This window comes from Homo sapiens, chromosome 6, assembly GCF_000001405.40.
Source record: "Homo sapiens chromosome 6, GRCh38.p14 Primary Assembly".
Taxonomy (NCBI): domain Eukaryota; kingdom Metazoa; phylum Chordata; class Mammalia; order Primates; family Hominidae; genus Homo; species Homo sapiens.
The window spans coordinates 77,272,388-77,291,207 of NC_000006.12; the positions used below are offsets into that span (position 1 = coordinate 77,272,388).

At 35.4% G+C, this 18,820-nt stretch overlaps 1 long non-coding RNA gene across 5 annotated transcripts in view; it reads right to left on the reverse strand.

Annotated features, from left to right (window-relative positions):
* LOC101928570 (uncharacterized) overlaps window positions 1-18,820 on the reverse strand; it is a 248,816-nt gene that overhangs the window by 203,724 nt on the left and 26,272 nt on the right. For all 5 annotated transcript variants that reach the window (XR_241864.5, XR_007059650.1, XR_001744206.2 and 2 more), the window contains exon 2: window positions 640-920. This is a non-coding gene — a long non-coding RNA (uncharacterized LOC101928570). The remainder of the gene's footprint in view (window positions 1-639; window positions 921-18,820) is intronic.

Below are 18,820 nucleotides of genomic sequence, written 5' to 3' on the forward strand. Positions count from 1 at the left end.
CCCACTTACTTTCTAGCTAAACCTCAAAAGACCCATCTGTCTTACGCACACTTTCTCTTCTTCCTCCTCTATATTTTACTCTTAAATCTACTGCCATCTGGCACTGCCCCTACTTCACAAAGGCTTATGTAAAGTTTATGTTGCTTATCTCAAAGAACCTCTACATTACCATAGGAAAATGGACGTTTTTCTAATACTACTACACTTGTCTGCCATATTCATCACAGTTGATTACCTCTTCCTACTTGAAACATTTATCTTTATCAGCTGTTGTAACAGCACCCTCTCATGATTTTTTTTCTACCTCACTGTCACCTTTTTTCATGTTTTTTCATTGACTCCTTCTCTACACAACCACTAAATGATGCTTTCAATTAGAACTAGATCCTATGTCTCTTCTCTTTTTCTCCTCATGCTGTCCCATGCCTTTATCTCCAACTTGTTAGTGAATTCTAATGTCGTTGATTCAGCCTTGTCTTCTGAAGTTCTAGCTAAGAAGTATATTCCACCACTCTACTTGCCATCTCTATTTGCTTACTGCTTAGGGAATCTCAGGCTTAACATGACCAAAATCAAATTCCTAAATTCCTCACAAATATCCCCCCCATTCTTCACCATAAAAACAAATTGCATAATTACCCAATCTATTCAAGCCATAATCTTGGAGATGTCTCTTTTTCTCCCAAAACATAAAATCTAATATATTAGAATTTCTTGCTGAGTCTACATCAAAAACATGTCTCCATGTATTCGCATTGCTCCATCTTCATAGCCTCCACCTTGGTCGAAGTTATTATCATCTCTTCTTAATTGTAGTAAATATTTCTTAATTGGTTCCTCTACTTTCCTTCTTCTTATACCCAATGCATTATCCCCTTGGCAATCAGCAAAATATGTATGTCTTCTTGCAAGGCTCATACCTAAAACAAAAACTGTAATGTCTTACCTTAGCATTTAGAATAAAATACCCATCCTTTATTATGACATCACACATGCTTTTCCCAGTCCCACATGATATTCCAGTTAACACCTGGAATAACTAATAGATTTATTTCACAGTGAGATCTTGCCACTCTCCCTTTCATTCACTAACCTCCAACCTCATTTACCTTCCGTTCATTTCTCAAGAATACTAAGTAGCTCTTCATCTTACATTTTTGAGAGTTTTCTCTCCCTGAAATATTCCCATTCTTTGGTCTTCTAAAACTTGTATCTTCTAAAACACTATTAATCACTATTTGAAATCAACCTCATTTATCTATTTGTCAATCATTCTTATATTTCTTCCCATTAAATTTGTATTCCATGAAGGCAGGATAAACGTTGAACTGATTGATATATAGTATCTGATATGGTTTGGCTGTGTCCCCACCCAAATCTCATCTTGAATTGTAACTTCCACAATTCCCATGTGTTATGGGAGGAACCTGGTGGGAGGTAATTGAGTTATGGGGGTGGGTCTTTCCCATGCTGTTCCCATGGTAGTGAATATGTCTCATGAGATCTGATAGTTTTAAAAAAGGGAATTTTCCTGCACAAGCTCTCTCTTTTTGCCTGCTGCCATCCATGTAAGATGTGACTTGCTCCTCCTTGCCTTCTACCATGACTGTGAGGCCTCCCCAACCATGTGTAACTGTAAGTTCATTAAACCCTTTTCCTTCATAAATTATCCAGTATCAATGTGTCTTTATTAACAGCATGAAAACAGACTAATACAGTAAATTAGTATCAGGAGTGGGGTGCTACTGAAAAGACACACAAAAGTGTGGAACTGACTTTGGAACTGGGTAACAGGCAGAGGTTGGAACAGTTTGGAGGGCTCAGAAGAAGACAGACAAATGTGGGAAAAGATACTCAAAAAATGTGGAAGCGACTTTAGAACGGGGTAACAGGCAGAGGTTGGAACAGTTTGGCAGGCCCAGAAGAAGACAGACAAATGTGGGAAAGTTTGGAACTTCCTACAGACTTGTTGAATGGCTTTGACAAAAATGCTGATAGTGATATGAACAATAAGGTCCAGTCTGAGGTGGTCTCAGATGGAGATGAGGAACTTGTTAACTGGAGTAAAGTGACTCTTGTTATGTTTTAGCAAAGAGACTGATGGCATTTTGGCCCTTTCCTAGAAATTTTTGGAACTTTGAACTTGAGAGAGATGAGTTACAGTATCTGGCTGAAGAAATTTCTAAACAGCAAAGTATTCAAGAGGTGACTTGTGTTCTGTTAAAGGCATTCAGTTTTATAAGGAAAGAAGAGAATAAAAGTTCAGAAAATGTGCAGCCTGACAATGCGATAGAAAAGAAAATCCCATTTTCTGAGGAGAAATTCAAGCTGGCTGCAGAAATTTGCATAAGTAACAAAGAGCCGAATATTAATCTCCAGGACAACAGGGAAAATGTCTCCAGGACATGTCAGAGGTCTTCACAGCAGGCCTTCCCAACACAGACCTGAAGGCCTAGGAGGAAAAAGTGGTTTCATGGGGTGGGCTCAGGGTCCCTGTGCTGTGTGCAGCCTAGAGACTTGGTGCCCTGAATCCAAACTGCTACAGCCATGGCTGAAAGGGGCCAATGTAGAGCTCAGGTCATGGCTTCAGAGGGTGCCAGCCCCAAGACTTGGCAACTTCCATGTGGTGTTGAGCCTGCAAGTACACAGAAGTCAAGAATTGGAGTTGGGGAACCTCTGTTTAGGTTTCAAAAAATGTATGGAAATGCCTGGATGTCCAGGCAGAAGTTTGCTGCAAGGGTGGGGCCCTCATGGAGAACCTCTGCTTGGGCAGTATAAAAGGGAAATGTGAGGCCGGAGCACCCACACAGAGTCCCTACTGGGGCACCACTTAGTGGAGCCATGAGAAGAGGGCCTCCGTCCTTCAGACCCCAGAATGGCAGATCCACTGACACCTTGCACTGTGCACTTGGAAAAGCTGCAGATACTCAACACCAGCCCATGAAAGCAGCTGGGAGGGAAGCCGTACCCTGCAGAGTCACAGCAGTGGAACTGCCCAAGACCATGGGAAACCACCTCTTGCATCAGCATGACCTAGATGTGAGACATGGAGCCAAAGGAGATCACTTTGGAGCTTTAAGATTTGACTGCCCCACTGGATTTTGAACTTGCAAGGGACCTGTAGTCCCTTTGTTTTGGCCAATTTCTCCCATTTGGAATGGCTGTATTTACCTAATGCCTATACCCCCATTGTATCTAGGAAGTAACTAACTTGCTTTTGATTTTACAGGCTCATTGACGGAAGAGACTTGCCTTGCTCAGATGAGATGTTGGACTGTGGACTTTTGAGTTAATGCTGAAATGAGTTAAGAGTTTGAGGGACTGTTGGGAAGGCATGATTGGTTTTGAAATGTGAGGACATGAGATTTGGGAGAGGCCAGGGGTGGAATGATATGGTTTGGTTGTGTCTCCACCCAAATTTCATCTTAAATTGTAACTCCCACAATTCCCACATGTCATAGGAGGAACCTAGTGGGAGGTGACTGAATCATGAGGGCAGGTCTTTTCTTTGCTGTCCTCATGGCAGTGAATAAGTTTCATGAGATCTGATGATTTTATAAACTAGTTTCCCTGCACAAGCTCTCATTATTTGCCTGCTGCCATCATGTAAAATGTGACTTGCTCTTCCTTGCCTTCTGCCATACTTGTGTGGCCTCCCCAGCTATGTGGAACTGTAAGTCAATTAAACCTTTTTCCTGTATAAATTACCCAGTCTCGGGTATGTCTTTATTAGCAGCATGAAAACAAACTAATACAGTATCCATCAACCAAATGTTTTTCAACTGTCAATTAGTGATACTAAATTAAAGCATAAATCACTAAATACTTCCATCCAAAGTCATTTGAACAAAAAAACTAGGATAATACATAAACTTTCATGTTTTATAGTAAAACAAATTAGTTAGTATTTTCTATAGTGAAATGTTGCCCAAAAACTCTATAGACACTATGATATTAAAATTTTTTTATTTTGAGGAAAGGAAGAAACATAATGGTAGACAGAAAAAAAATCTTCCAAGTTTTATGCCATTCACATTGAAAGAGGTGTTTTTATGAGCAAATGTTACAAAAAATAATGTAGTTCTTATCACTGTTTAATCCAAATATTAACACCTAGAATAACTGATGAATGTATTTAAAGAATAAGATGTGGTGACATTTTTATGATTCAGCAGGATATTACAGTTCAGCTAGAATAGAGCACAGTCATTGTGTTCATCTCTTTTTTGCTGATTTTTATGCAGTTTTTATACTAGTGAATACAATGAAAATAAAATAATTTCAAAACACTTGACACATATATAACAAAGGTGCCCTAAAGTATTTCCATCAGTTTTTAGCATCTCATCATATTAATTTATAGCAGAACAGTGGCTTCTAAGTTTATTAGGCAAAATAAATTTTAATAATTGCTCCAGGAACAGATTCTTTTATAAAATGAAGATTTATTGTGTTAAATCTGTCATTCCAAGTTGCCCAGGAAAGCACAAGTCACCAATGAAGATGCCAAGATCTTTCAAACAGTATTGGCAAATGAAGTGCATTAGACAATTTTATTTAAATAATTAGTGTTGGATTGAAGATGTTTCAGAGTTATTTTTCTTTTTGTAAAAAAAAGAAAAACTTTTTCTTGAAATAATTTAAATTTAATGAAAAGTTATAAGGATAAAACAGATAACTATATATTTTACACAGATTCATGAATTATTAACTTCTTGCTACATTTTAACATTCTCTCTATATCTATATCTATATTTAGATCTATCTATCTATATACATATAATTACTCTTTATGGACTATTTCAGTATAACCTGCATACAATATGTTGCTTTACCATTTGATACTTAAGGAATTTTTCCAAAAGTAAGAATGGGAATTTTCAGTACCATTCAAAATGGAATAAGATAGCAAGGGCCTGGTCACAAGTGTAAATTCTGAAATGAATAAACTCATCAACTACCCGAGGACTCTGAAAAGGTAAAGAAGAACAGAAAGATAAAGGGGCAATTTAAAACTTGAAGAAGGACCAGCAACAGCACATTTCATAAGTTGTTTGTTTTGTTTTGTTTTCTCTATTTATTTCTAAGCCTGCACCCAAGAAAGATCTAGTAGCTCAGGTTATGAAACTGTGCAGTGAACACTGGAAGGAAAACATTTTCTACCCTGAGGCCAGGAAAAGTGGGGAGTACTGGGTGAATTTTTTTTTTTTTTTTTTTTTTTGCAGCCCTGCTGCAAAGCAAACCCTATTGCAGAGATGAATCAGTCTTGCAGTAGCAGAGGTGGAGCCATAGGTATATAAAATTTCAATGTGAAACCTGTGTCTATGGCTAGATGAGCCAAGAAAAGGAGTGAATGCTGTCTAAAAAGTGCATGGCATGAATTTTCTAATTTTTTTTCTCTCCTTTCTCTCACAACTTCGCCGTGTGGGTAATAATCCCCAGTCAGTGAGATTTGCCAACTCGGCCAGATAAAACTATGAAAGAAGCTAATTTTTCTGGCCAAAGAAACTGGGAAAGAGGATCCTTGGTAGCCAGAGGTTAGAGGTAAATTCAGAGAGGATAGAACTTGAGAAGGAATTCGATAATTATGTATATAAACCAAGACAACTACTGGACTTACCCACAACCTGGGTATGTGTGAAAAAGGCCCCCAACAGCATAGTGAAGGTTTTGAGAACCACTACCAACTCCTGGAAATCAAAGAGTGGCATGGTAACATTCAAACACTATAACAGAGGCTTCAAAAACTTAATTGATAATGGAATCATTGCTGGCAGAAGGCAAGAAAGAACTTGCGGTTAGGCCTAACCAGGTTGATTACCAAGAAAAACAACATCAGCAATAGCAGCAACAAATCAATATTATCTGGAGGATTTAAATAGGATCCAAATTTTCATAACAAAATGATCTATACATTGAGGATACAATCTAAAATTACATGGCATAAATACATCATAGAGAATATGATCTATGACTATACCTAATTCTCAAGGAAAAAGACAACCAACTGATGATAAACCTGATTTGACTCACATGTAGGAATTATCGCACAAAGACTTTGAAGAAGCTATGATAACCATGAGGCAAGGTAGACATTAAGCTTGCTTAAAATGAATGGAGAGAGAGTTCTGAGCAGACAAATAGAAACTTTAAAACAACTAACTGGAAATTTCAGAAATAAAAATATATTATCTAAAGTAGAAAATTCACTAAATAGGCTCAGTAGCAGAATGGCAACAACAGAGAAAAAAAGTTAGTGACCTTGAATATAGAACAAAAGAAATTATCTAATTCGTGGAATCAACAGATACAATACTTTTTAAAAAATATCAAAGCCTCCAGAGCTTATGATACAATAACAAAAGGCTAACGATTTATGTATTTGAAGTTTCAGAAGCAGAGGAGAAAGACAATGCAGAAAAAATACCAACTTTTATTTTAAGTTCAGGGGTACATGTGCCGGTTTGTTACACAGATAAACCTGTGTGGTGGAAGACTGTTGTACAGATTATTTTATCACCCAGGTATTAAGCCTAGTAACCATTAGTTGTTTATCCTGATCTTCTCCCTCTTAACACCTTCCATATATATGCACCAACACAGATGAACCAAGATTTACAAAGCAAGTTTTTAGAAACCTTCAAAGAGACTTAGAATCCCACACAATAACAGTGGGAGTCTTTAACACCCCACTGAAAATATTAGATAGATCACTGAGACAGAAAATTAACAAAGATATTCAGGACCTGAACTCAGCACTGGATCAAATGGACCTGAAGGAAATCTACAGAATTCTTCATCCCAAAACAATAGAACATACACTCTTCTCATTGACACATGGCACTTACTTTAAAATTGATCATATAATTGAAAGTAAGACACTCCTCACCAAATGCAAAAAACTAAAATCATAACAAACTGTTAGAACAAAGTGCAATTAAATTAGACCTCAAGACTAACAAATTCAGACAAAACCAACAATTACATGGAAATTGAATAAGCTGTTCCCAAATGACTTTTGGGTAAATAATGAAATTAAGGCAGAAATCAAAAACTTCTTTAAAACTAATGAGAACAAAAATACAAAGTACCAGAATTTGAGACACAGCTAAGGCAATGTTAAGAGGGAAATGCATAGCACTAAATGCCTATATTAAAAATTTAGAAAGATTTCAAGGTAACAACCTAACATCACAACTAAAAAAACTAGAGAACCAAGAGCAAAGAAATACCAAAGCACACAGAAGACAAGAAATAACCAAAATCAGAGATAAACTGAAGGAACCAGAGACATGAAAAACTATTCAACTGATCAACAAATCAAGCAGCTGTTTTTTTGAAAAAATAAAATAGATTACTAGCTAGATTAATAATGAAGAAAAGAGAGAAGATTCAAATAAACACAATCAGAAACAATAAAGGGGATATTACAACTGGCCCCACAGAAATACAAACAACCATTAGAGAATATTATAAACATCTCTGTGCCCACAAACTAGAAAATCTAGAAGAAATGCATAAAATCCTTGACACAGACACCATGCCAAGACTGAACCAGGAAGAGATTAAATCCCTGAACAGACCAATAATGTGTTCTGAAATTGAGGCAATAATAGCCTACCAACAAAAAGAAGCCCAGAACCAAACAGATTCACAGCTGAATTCTACCAGATGTACAAAGAAGAGCTGGTACCATTCCTACTGAAACTATGTCAAAAAACTGAGGAAGAAAAACTCCTCGCTAATGCATTCTGAGGCCAGCATCATCCTAATACCAAAACCTGGAAGAGATACAAAAAAACAAAAACCTTCAGGCCAGTATCCTTCATGTACATTGATGTAAAAATCCTCAACTAGATACTGGCAAATTGAATCTAGGAGCACATTTTATCCCCCACGATAAAACAGTTTATCCCCCACGATCAAGTAGGCTTCATCCCAAGAATGCAAGGTTGGTTCAACACATGCAAATCAATAAATGTGATTCATCACATAAACAAAGCTAAAGACCAAAACAACATGATAATCTCAAAAGATGTAGAAAGGGATTTCAATAAAATTCAACATCCCATGTTAAAAACTCTCAATAAACTAGGTGTTAAAGAAACATACCTCAAAATAATAAAAGCCAAATGCACAGCCAACATTATACTGAAGGGGCAAAAGCTGGAAGCATTCCCCTTGAAAACTGGCACAAGACAAGGATGCCTTCTCTCACCATGTCTATTCAACATAGTATTGGAAGTTCTGGCCAGGGCAATCAGGTAAGAGAATGAAATAAAACGTATTTAAATAGAAAGAGAGACAGTCAAAGTATCTTTGTTTGCAGATGACATGATTTTATATCTAGAAAACCCCATCATCTCAGCCCAAAAGCTTATTAAAGCTGATAAGCAACTTCAGCAAAGTCTCAGGATATAAAATAAATGTGCAAAAATGGCTAGCATTCCTATACACCAACGACAGGCAAGCCAAGGACCAAAGAATAAAATACCTAGAAACATAGCTAACTAGGAAGGCAAAAGATCTCCACAAGGAGAACTACAAACCATTGCTCAAAGAAAGCAGTGATGCACACACAAATAAAAAAACATTCCATGCTATGGATAGGAAGAATCAATATCATTAAAATGGCCATACTGCCCAAAGTAATTTATAGATTCAATGGTATTCTCATTAAACTACCACTGACATTCTTCAGAGAACTAGGAAAAGAAAACTATTTTACAACTTAGATGGAACCAAAAAAAGACTAAATAGCCAAGGCACTGCAATCCTAAGCAAAAGGAACATAGCTGGAGGCATCATGCTATCCAACTTCAAACTATACTACAGGGCTGTAGTAACCAAAACAGCATGAAACTGGTACAATAACAGACACCTAGACCAATGGAACAGAATAGAGAACCCAGAAATTAGACCACACACCTACAACTATCTGATCTACAACAAACCTGACAAAACAAGCAATGGGGAAAGGATACCCTCTTCAATAAATGGTGCTGGGACAATTTGCTCACCACATGTAGAAGATTGAAACTAGATCCCTTCCTCATACCATATACAAAAAAAAACTCAAGATGGATTAAAGACTTAAATGTAAAAGCCCCACACTCTAAATGATGCAGGATTTTCCTCAGCCTCTTCATCAGACTTGCAACAGTGGTGCCCTGTTTACTTGGCACACCACACTCAATCCCTTGCAGGAGGGAGCATGTGAGCAAGTTAGTGAGGGATCCATCTTGCTGCCAACAGAAACAAGCTCCATGCAGGGCCAGTGGCAGTGCCCCAGTAGGGGTGCCTGTGACCCTGAAGCCCCAGAGAACATGTTACAATGCTCCTTTAGCTCCACTGTGTGTATCAGTTCACTTGGCTCCTTGCCTTATTGTGTGGGGGTGGCTGTTTTTCACCAGCAATGGCAAAGGGCCAGCGTGACATCATTTTTTGGGTATCCACAGCGGTGGATCCCAGGCTCTTGTCCGGCATCCAAGAAGAATAAGGTCATGTGGACACTTGAAGGATGATGAAGGCAGAGAATTTTATTTAGCAACAGAAATGGCTCTCAGTGGAGAGGGGAGCTGGAGAGGGGACAAGATGGGCAGGTATTCTTCCCCTGAAGTCCTGTCAGCTCTTCCCTGAAGTCAAGACATCTCTCCAAAGTCAAGTCACCTTTTTCATCTGAAGTACAGCCATCTCTCTAAAGTCAAGTTGCCTCTCTCCAGTCAAGCTGCCTCTCTCTCCCCTACCAACTGAGCCTGGGGTCTTTACAGGCACAGGATGGGGGAGCAGGGCTGGCCATAGTAGTTTTGGAAAAGGCAACATTAGACTGGCAAAAAGGCATTATTCAAAAAGAACCAATCAGGAGAGAGTGGGCAAACAAAATAGAAGTTCTCATTTTGGGCTGTGGGTTTCAGGCTTTTTGGCTTGAAGGTGGGGTTTCACCAAGGACTTGTCCCTGTCAGCCTCCTGCCTCTATCATAAAAACTCTAGAAATCAACCTGGGCGATGCCATTCAGAACATAGGAATGGGAAAAGATTTCATGACAAAGACACCAAAAGCAACTGAAACAACAGCAAAAATTGACAAATAAGATCTAATTAAACTAAAGAACTTCTGCACAGCAAAAGAAACTATCAACAGAGTAAACAGAAAAAAACATTTTTTGAGAAAACAGAAATCTTTCCAAGTTTGGTGAAAGATATAAATAAGTGATTGGAAAAACTCATCAAATCAAAATAAAATAAAGTCAAAGAAAACTATGTCCAGGTAATTCATAAATTAAACTACTGAAAATATAAGCTAAAGAAAAAAACTTAATTCAATATATATAAAAGAAAATGGGATATTAATGGGACAGCTGTGGAGGCTAGTAGACCATGTGTGAAACATCTTTAAAACAACCCAGTATTCTTCATCCAACAAAACATTTTGCAGTAATGAAGTGAACTATGTATAACTTTAGACGAAGGAAAACCAAGAGAACTTGTTGCCAGCAGTCCTGCTCTAAAACAATGCTAAAGAAAGTTGTTCAGGCTGAAGGATAATGAAACTTGAGGCCAGCCACGGTGGCTCACACCTGAAATCCCAGCACTTTGGGCCAAGGCGGGCAGATCACCTGAGGTTGGGAGTTTGAGATCAGGCTGGCCAACGTGGTGAAACCCTGTCTCTACTAAAAATACAAAAATTAGCCAGGTGTGGTGGCACTCGTCTGTAATCCCAGCTACTTGGGAGGCTGAGGCACGAGAATTTCTTGAACCTGGGAGGCAGAGGTTGCAGTTAACTACACCACTGCACTCCAGCCTGGGCACAGAGTGACACTCCGTCAAAAAAAAAAAAAAAAGAAAACTAGAGGTAAACTGTAAACTTCAAGAATAAAAGATACATGGTAAATATGTTGGTAAAAATAAAAATCATTTTTCCTCTTATGTTTTAAAAATATGTATGACAAATAAAATGAAAATTTACACCTTTTTTGCTGTGATTTTCTGTGTATGTAGATAAATACATAAACCTATAAGGAGGAGAGTAAAGAAAGCTACAAATAAGAATATTTTTATACCCATAGTAATGTTGCAAATTCAGAAAAATTAAGATTGTTAAAATCATTTAATTTAGTATACAGTATATATTCTAATTTCATTACCTATCACAACAATTTATTTTATGGCACTTTTCCCTACAGGACAATATCTACTTTAGGATTACATGTTGCAATTACTCAGGTTTCTTTAATCTCCTGTAATCTGGAAGAATGCCTTTGCTTTTCTTTGTGTTTCATAACATTAACAGCTTAAAAGATACTGGATAATTCTTTATTATCATTATTATTATTATTATTTTGAGAAGGAGACTTGCTCTGTCACCCAGGCTGGAGTGCAGTGGCATGATCTTGGCTCACTGCAACCTCTGCCTCCTGGGTTCAAGCGATTCTCCTGCATCAGCCTCCCGAGTAGCTGGGATTACAGGCGCATGCCACCATGCCTGGCTAATTTTTGTATTTTTAGTAGAGATGGGGTTTCACCATGTTGGCCAGGCTGGTCTCGAACTCCTGACCTTAGGTGATCCACCCGCCTCGGCCTCCCAAAGTGTTGGGATAACAGGCATGAGGCACCGCACCCGGCCCTGGATAATTATTTTATAGAATATTCCTGTTTGGTTTTGTCTGATGTCTCTTCATAATCAGTTCAAGTAATGTATTCCCACCTCTAGGTATACTGTGTAAAAAATATTTTGATCTTTACAGAATATCCCATTTGGAGGCACACGGCATCTACCTACCCTTTATTGGTGATGTTAATTTTGATCACAAGGTCAGAATGTTCTCTAGTTTCCTCACTGAATAGCTACTATTTTTGCTTTGCAACTAATAAGCAATCTATGGGTAGACAATGAAATTATGCAGATATCCTAATCTCCATCAAATTTTGCTCCCCTAGATTTAATACTGATTCATGATTCTTGAAATATTTAAAATGCTAATTGCAAAATAATAATTCTCCAACTCTATTACTCCACGTATATTTATCAATCTGCATTTTTCTATAAGAGATACTTATCTAATCTATCTAGCTAATAAACTATTTTTTACAAAAAGTTATAATTTATTATTGAACACATTTCATTTGATATTCAAAGTGAACCAAATTTGGTCAGTGGGAATCTCGTTAATCTTTCTCCTGCATCCCCTTCAGTTTTTTTTACACTACTTATTTTGCAGCATAACAATAAATTCTGGGCTCACCTTGGACCTTTTCTGCCCCAGGCATGGAATGAGCCATTTTTCCAAGGAGGTCTAATCCTTTATAGTGGGAAATGGTATTTATAAACCAAAATTTCGGCAGCTAGGTATACTTATTACTACTAGATCATCATCACTTTTAGGTCGTTTAGTGGACAGAGATAAGATATAGGTACAGATTTTTAGTTTAGTTCAGTTTAATTTCCCTAATTTGAGTCAAATTGTTTTCCTAATATTTCCCTAATTAGTCAAAGTCTTATTGTCTAGTGGTTATTTAGCTATTTTCTTTACTGGTTCATTGTGGTTGTTATTCACTTACAATAATAGTTGGGTTCTTTTCCTTCTGTTTGCAGTTCATTTTAGAATTCTTTTTATCTTTGTTGATTTAATTTTGAATGATTAGAATATGAATGTGCTTCCAAAACTAATAAAAAAGTATACTCAAAAGAAGTGTTATTCTATCCCTTTTCGCCTAGCCTGACACCATAACTCGCCAATTTCACAGCGTTCTAGTTATCCATCCTGTGTTTTTCTCTAACAAAAATAAGCAAATTCATGTAGCTTTTCTTGTTCCTTCATCTTTCTTATGCAATGGAAAAAATAATTTACTTTTCTAATATATTACATATTATAAAATATATCACAATACTTTTTTAAATAAATTCAATCGGTTTATAGATGTCTTTTTCATTTTTTGTCACAGCTGAACAGTATCTATTTGGTTGTGTGCACCATACCTAATTTAAACATTTCCCTGTATTTGGACATTTAAATTAATATTTTATAATTACAAACAATTTTTAATAAATAACATTGACACAAGCTATTTTTGTACGGTTGGAGGTGTATCTTCAGAGTTAATTCCCAAAATATAGATTGGTGAGTCAAAGGATAAACACATATGTAGAATTTTAGGCTTTGCCAAATTCCCCTCTGTAGTGGTTGTATCGTTTTAGTCTCACCAATAACGTCTGAGATGGACAGTTTCCCGAGAGTTTCACCAACATAGACCTAGTAAAATATACTGTCAAGCTTTTGAATTTTGTCCAGTGTTTCAGTTATGAGTAAAGCTGAACATCTGTTCATATATTTAAAAATTTAAAAATTCTATGTATGTGTCTACAGATGTATATGTCTATTCATGCCATTTGCCTATTTTTCTGTAAGATTTTTTCTTCCTCAAAATTATTAAAATTTCTTTATATATTGGGAATATTAACTTCATATCTGTGTTAGATGTTGAAAATATTTTCTTCCAGTTTGTCATTTGCCTTTTGATTTTGCTTATGATGTTCTTATGATGAAAAGTTTGTATTTTCCATACAAATTTTAATGAATGTACAATATTTATTATAAATATATAATCATTTATTGACATAAGTATGTATAAGCATTTATACACACTTACGTATATCTAAATAAATATTTATAAAACAAATACATATAAAGTCTGAAGTAATTATGCTTATTTGTACTGTATCCAAATTTTGTGATATGTAGCTAGAAAGCCTTTCCCTACACTGTCATAAAGAAATTCATTCAAGTTTACCTCTAGTACTTCAACAGTTTTATATTTTATAATCAGAACTCTGATTTATTTGAAATATATTCTGTGTATGTTTTGAAGGAAATGTCTAATTTTATTTTTCAAAAATGTATCTAAATGTTCCAACATCATTTGCTTAAAAACTGAACTTTGCCCTATTTGAGATGTTTCTTTACCATGTGCTATATTTGCATATGTACTTGGGTTTATTTCTGGAATTATTTGTTTAGTCATGTGCCAATCATACATATTTTCATTATAAAGACTTTGTAGTATATTAACATATTGTAAAAGATGATTTCTACACAAAGCTCTACCTTTCCAGTAGTGTCTTATCTATTTTTAGCTTTAAAATGCACAAGTTGAGTTTATATAGGCATGAATTATGAATTAATTATCACAATCAAGATAATTAACATTCATCATTTCACATAGTTACAATCTTCTTGTGTGTGGATGTATCTGTGTGTGTGTGCGTGTGGTGAGAATATTTCAGCAAATTTAAAACATATAATATGGTATTATTAACCATAGTCACAGTGCTGTACATTATATTTTGAGAACTTTTGTATATTGCGTAACTAAAACTTTATACCCCTTCACTAACATTTTTCCTTTTTCCCTCCCTTCGCCTCTGGCAACCACCATTCTATTCTCTTTTCCTAATAGTTTGACTATTTTATGTTTCACATATTATTGAGAAGAAGGAACATTTTCAGCCTCTTTTTACAAGGCCAGCATCACTCTAAAACCAAAGCCCAACAAACATGTCAAAAAAAGAAAAACTACAGCCCATATCCTTAATAAACATAGATGAAAAATCCCCAATAAAATACTAGCAAACAGAATTCAACAGCACATTGAAAGGACCATACACCTTTGGTATCCCAAATACGTAGAAACTAAATAATATAGCTGTGAACAACCATCGGATCAAAAAGGAAATCAAAAGGGAATTTAAAAAGTATCTAGCAACAAATGAAGTGAGAACACATCATACCGGAAATTATAACCCATAAGTAAAAGCAGTGCTTTTGGAGCAAGATGGAGCAAGAAATTCCTACCTTTAGAAAGAAGAAAGATCTCAAATACATAACCTAGGTTTACATCTTAATAAACTAGGACAAGAAGGACAAACAAATCTCAAAGCCAGAAGAAGAAAATAAATAATAAAGATTAGAGAAAAACTAAAATAGTAAAAAGTAAAGAAAAAACTACAAAACTAAGTTGTTTTTTGAAAAGATAAACAAAATTGACAAATTCTTAGCTAGACTAAGACAAAGGACTCACAATCAGAAATGAAGGAGGAGACACTACAATAGATGCCTCAGAAATAAAAATATTCATAAGGGGCTATTATGAACAATTATATGCCAACAAACTGAATAGCCTAGAAGGAATAAACACATTCCTAAACACATACAATCTGCCAAGACTGAATTAAGAAGAAATTGAAAGCCTGAACAGATCAATAACAAATAAGGAGATAGAATCAGTAATCAAAAACCTCCCAACAAAGAAAATCCCAGGACCAGATGGTTGCATGGGTAAATTTTACCAAATATTCAAAGAAGAATTAATATCAACCCTTTCAAACTCTTCCAAAAATACACAAGCAAAGGAAGCACTTTAAACCCATTTTATGAGGCTAGCATCACTCTGATGCCAAAACCTAGCTATATTTATGTGTAAATTTTCCTAGTCAACTTGATTAGCTCCGGAGAAAACTCTATGGTATTTTTATTCATATCACATTAAGTCTATAAATTAATTTAGGGAGAATTTATATCTTGATGCTGTTTCGATATCCTAAAGAGCTATTTTTTTCAATATTACTTTTGTAAAATTCCAGAGTATTTGATATTTTTATGTGTTCCAACATTTATGTTAAATTTATTTCTAAGTATTTTATCATATTTGTTGTTATCACAATTAAACTCTTCGTTTTGTTCAATATTCTATAGACTTGGTTTTGATATCCTTGACAGTTTTGATAAGTGCTGGCTAGGTATTTTGTAGAATGCTCCTCTGTGGGAATTTGTTTGATGTTTTTCTTTTGTTTAAATTGGATTTGTGGGCGTTTTCTTCAGTGAAGGGTAGAGATCACAGAGATCAAGCGTCATTTTTATTACCTCACTCACACAAGATCATATCAACATGAATTATTATTTACAGCATTAACTTTTAATTCCCTGGCTGAACTAGTACCGATCAGGATTCTCCACTGTAGGTGACTCTTTTCTTGCCCTTTCCATATTCTGTTTATTCACTTTCTATAGCATACTTTTTGAAAGACAATCACTTAAGAAGTGGGGATTTATGTTACTCCTCCTTTAGAGAAGAATATCAATATAAATTATTTGAAATTATTCGACATAGGAGATTTGTATATTTTCCTCTATTTATTTATTTATTTATTCAATCATTTGCATATGTGTCTATGGATTTATGAATATTTAATTTATACTTTGGGCTATAGTCCAACACTACATTATTTATCTTGTTACTCAAATTCTGCCAGCTTTGACAATCACGGACTATTTCAGTTTGCTCCTGTGTACTTTTGATATACCCACTCATTGTGGGGTTTGATTTTTTAGTTCACCATATTCACCATACTGTCTGGCTCTAAAAGATGCTCTAGACTTATCTCATAAATTTTCTTCTCCAGTGCTAGACCACTCATTTGTTTAAGAAGCCATGACATCTTTTATTGGAGAATAGTATTAAAAATAAAGATCTGTTCCATAAAAACACATCGCCTTTGGAGTAACATTGCTTCTTTGCTGACAGAGCAAGAACATGTCAGTTTCTGTAATTCAATTTCAAAAAACTTTTGAGATAAAAATTGTGCCCTGTGTCAGTTTGCTTGAAGAATACTCTGAGATTGCAAGGTATTATATCTTAACTTTTTTCATTTTCAAAAAAAAACATGTACCTGGTTGACTCAGCCTTTTCATAATTTTATTTAACCAAAAAATGTAAAGCATAACTATATACTGTGATTAATATAATTCTGAAACTATAATCCATAACCATGAATTTAAAATGGCTACATTCATTAAATTATTTTTACTGATTCGCTTACTTTAAAAATCATAATTATCCTGAACTTTAATTTTAGAAAATAAATGAATACAAATTTCACTGATATCTTTTCATAATCATATTTTTGCATAAGATTTATTTGACAATGGGTATGATCTAAAAAAAAGTTTGAAAACACACAAATGATCAAGAGAATATCCTAGGCTATTTTGGACTCAGAGTAAATTTTTATTAACACTTTACTTTGTTTATAATCTTCTCTCCCTGAGGAGAACATTAAACCTCTATACCTACAGTTGTGGAATCTTGAATTGGCTAGATGCACTAAATGTGAGTGTGATTTAAACTATTTTATTTTTGTATAAGTTTGTCTTGTGTAACTAAACCAAAATCTCTGTGAAAGTTGAAATATATTATATTTCTATTTTGTGTGTGTGATCCATTGTTCTTGTCACTCAATTCAATTGAAGAATGAAGAAGAGTCCATATGTATACATTGTATAGAATTGTCCTAGAAGTAAACATATCTTAAAATAGATTTCATAGTAGGAAATAAATGGGAGCAAGAAAATCTCATTTTTTTTCTTTCTCTATGTCAACTTGCACAAAGTTGACTATTGTTTCTGGAAACAATAAATAATAACATTTACAAGTCTAACACATCCTCATGTAACCAAAGATAAAGACACATATTTCTCTTAACATCCCCAGATAGCTACATTAGCAGACTCAAGCTATGGTAGAATATGAACCCTTGGAAACACCTTATTCCATGAAGACATTCAGTACTTGTGTCGCTAATTTACCAGCGCTCAAGTATAAATGACAACGCAAGTAGGCCGCTCAGAAATTTTAAAAACAAATAAATTAGAGTCTAAAGTTTCAGACACAGTAGCTATATCATAGTCTGGGGAGAAACCCAAAATAGAGAAGAACCAGTGACAGAGATCAGAGTGTAGAAAATCTGGATATGGTAAATTACAGACCCTCGCACTATCACTGAAATTTTTCCCTCCAATGGAGATATATTTTCTCAGCTATTCATCTTGCCACATACGTACTCCTTTCCTCTCACTCCCTCTCCAAATATAAAAAAAAAAAAAAGAAGACCACACAAGGTCAAAATTATTTGCCTGTTTTTCCTGATTTCTGCCTAACATTCTCTTCTTCTTTTTCCTAGGAAACAAAGGGGAAATGGGGAAGGTGAAATCTCATTTTCCTGGAAAGTGGACGATTCTTTCAGATTATTGCACTGAAGACAGAAAGTAACTCAGATGCTATTTCTGCTTTCTAAGCAGCATTTGCAAAATGAAATGGAGGATGTAAAGTGGGATACTTTCAGATTCTCTCTTTAATGTGTTCAGGGTCCCAAAGGATTCTGACTCACCTGAATCCATTGAGTATGTTTTCTTTGATTAAGGAGATCCAGAGCCACACTTATTAAAAAGCCTCTGCCATTATCCTTGCCAAGTACTTTTATTCCTTTGCCATCAGTTTAGGGACCAGGAGTTTCTTGTCCCCAAAGACAGTTTTAGAGACACCAAACTTCTGTTTTATACAGTTATCTCTTTAAAGTGTCTTCAACACAGTATATGTCTTCTGATTATAGTATTAAATAATGTTTACTTTTATTGTGTAGAGATATAAAATTACAAGCAATGCCTAATAGGCATACTGAACAGAGAGTTCTCTAACTGAATGGCTATCACATGTATTTACTTCCTACCAATGTGCACAGTAATCTAGTAATCATTGTAATCAGTGGACACAGTCATCCATTTCCCCCTCTTAACAGGAAGTCCAGTTCAGGCTGTTGGTACTCCCTAGAATTCTCTTTTCTCTTTTTCCTGTTGTTTTCTCTCTTTCTATCACATTACCCTCTGTTATAAAGGAAGCGAGATCATTTCTGACCTAATCTCCAGGTGTAAATTTGCTAATACTATGACAATCTTTTCATTTTGTTCAGGGGAATGTGAAATGTAGAGAA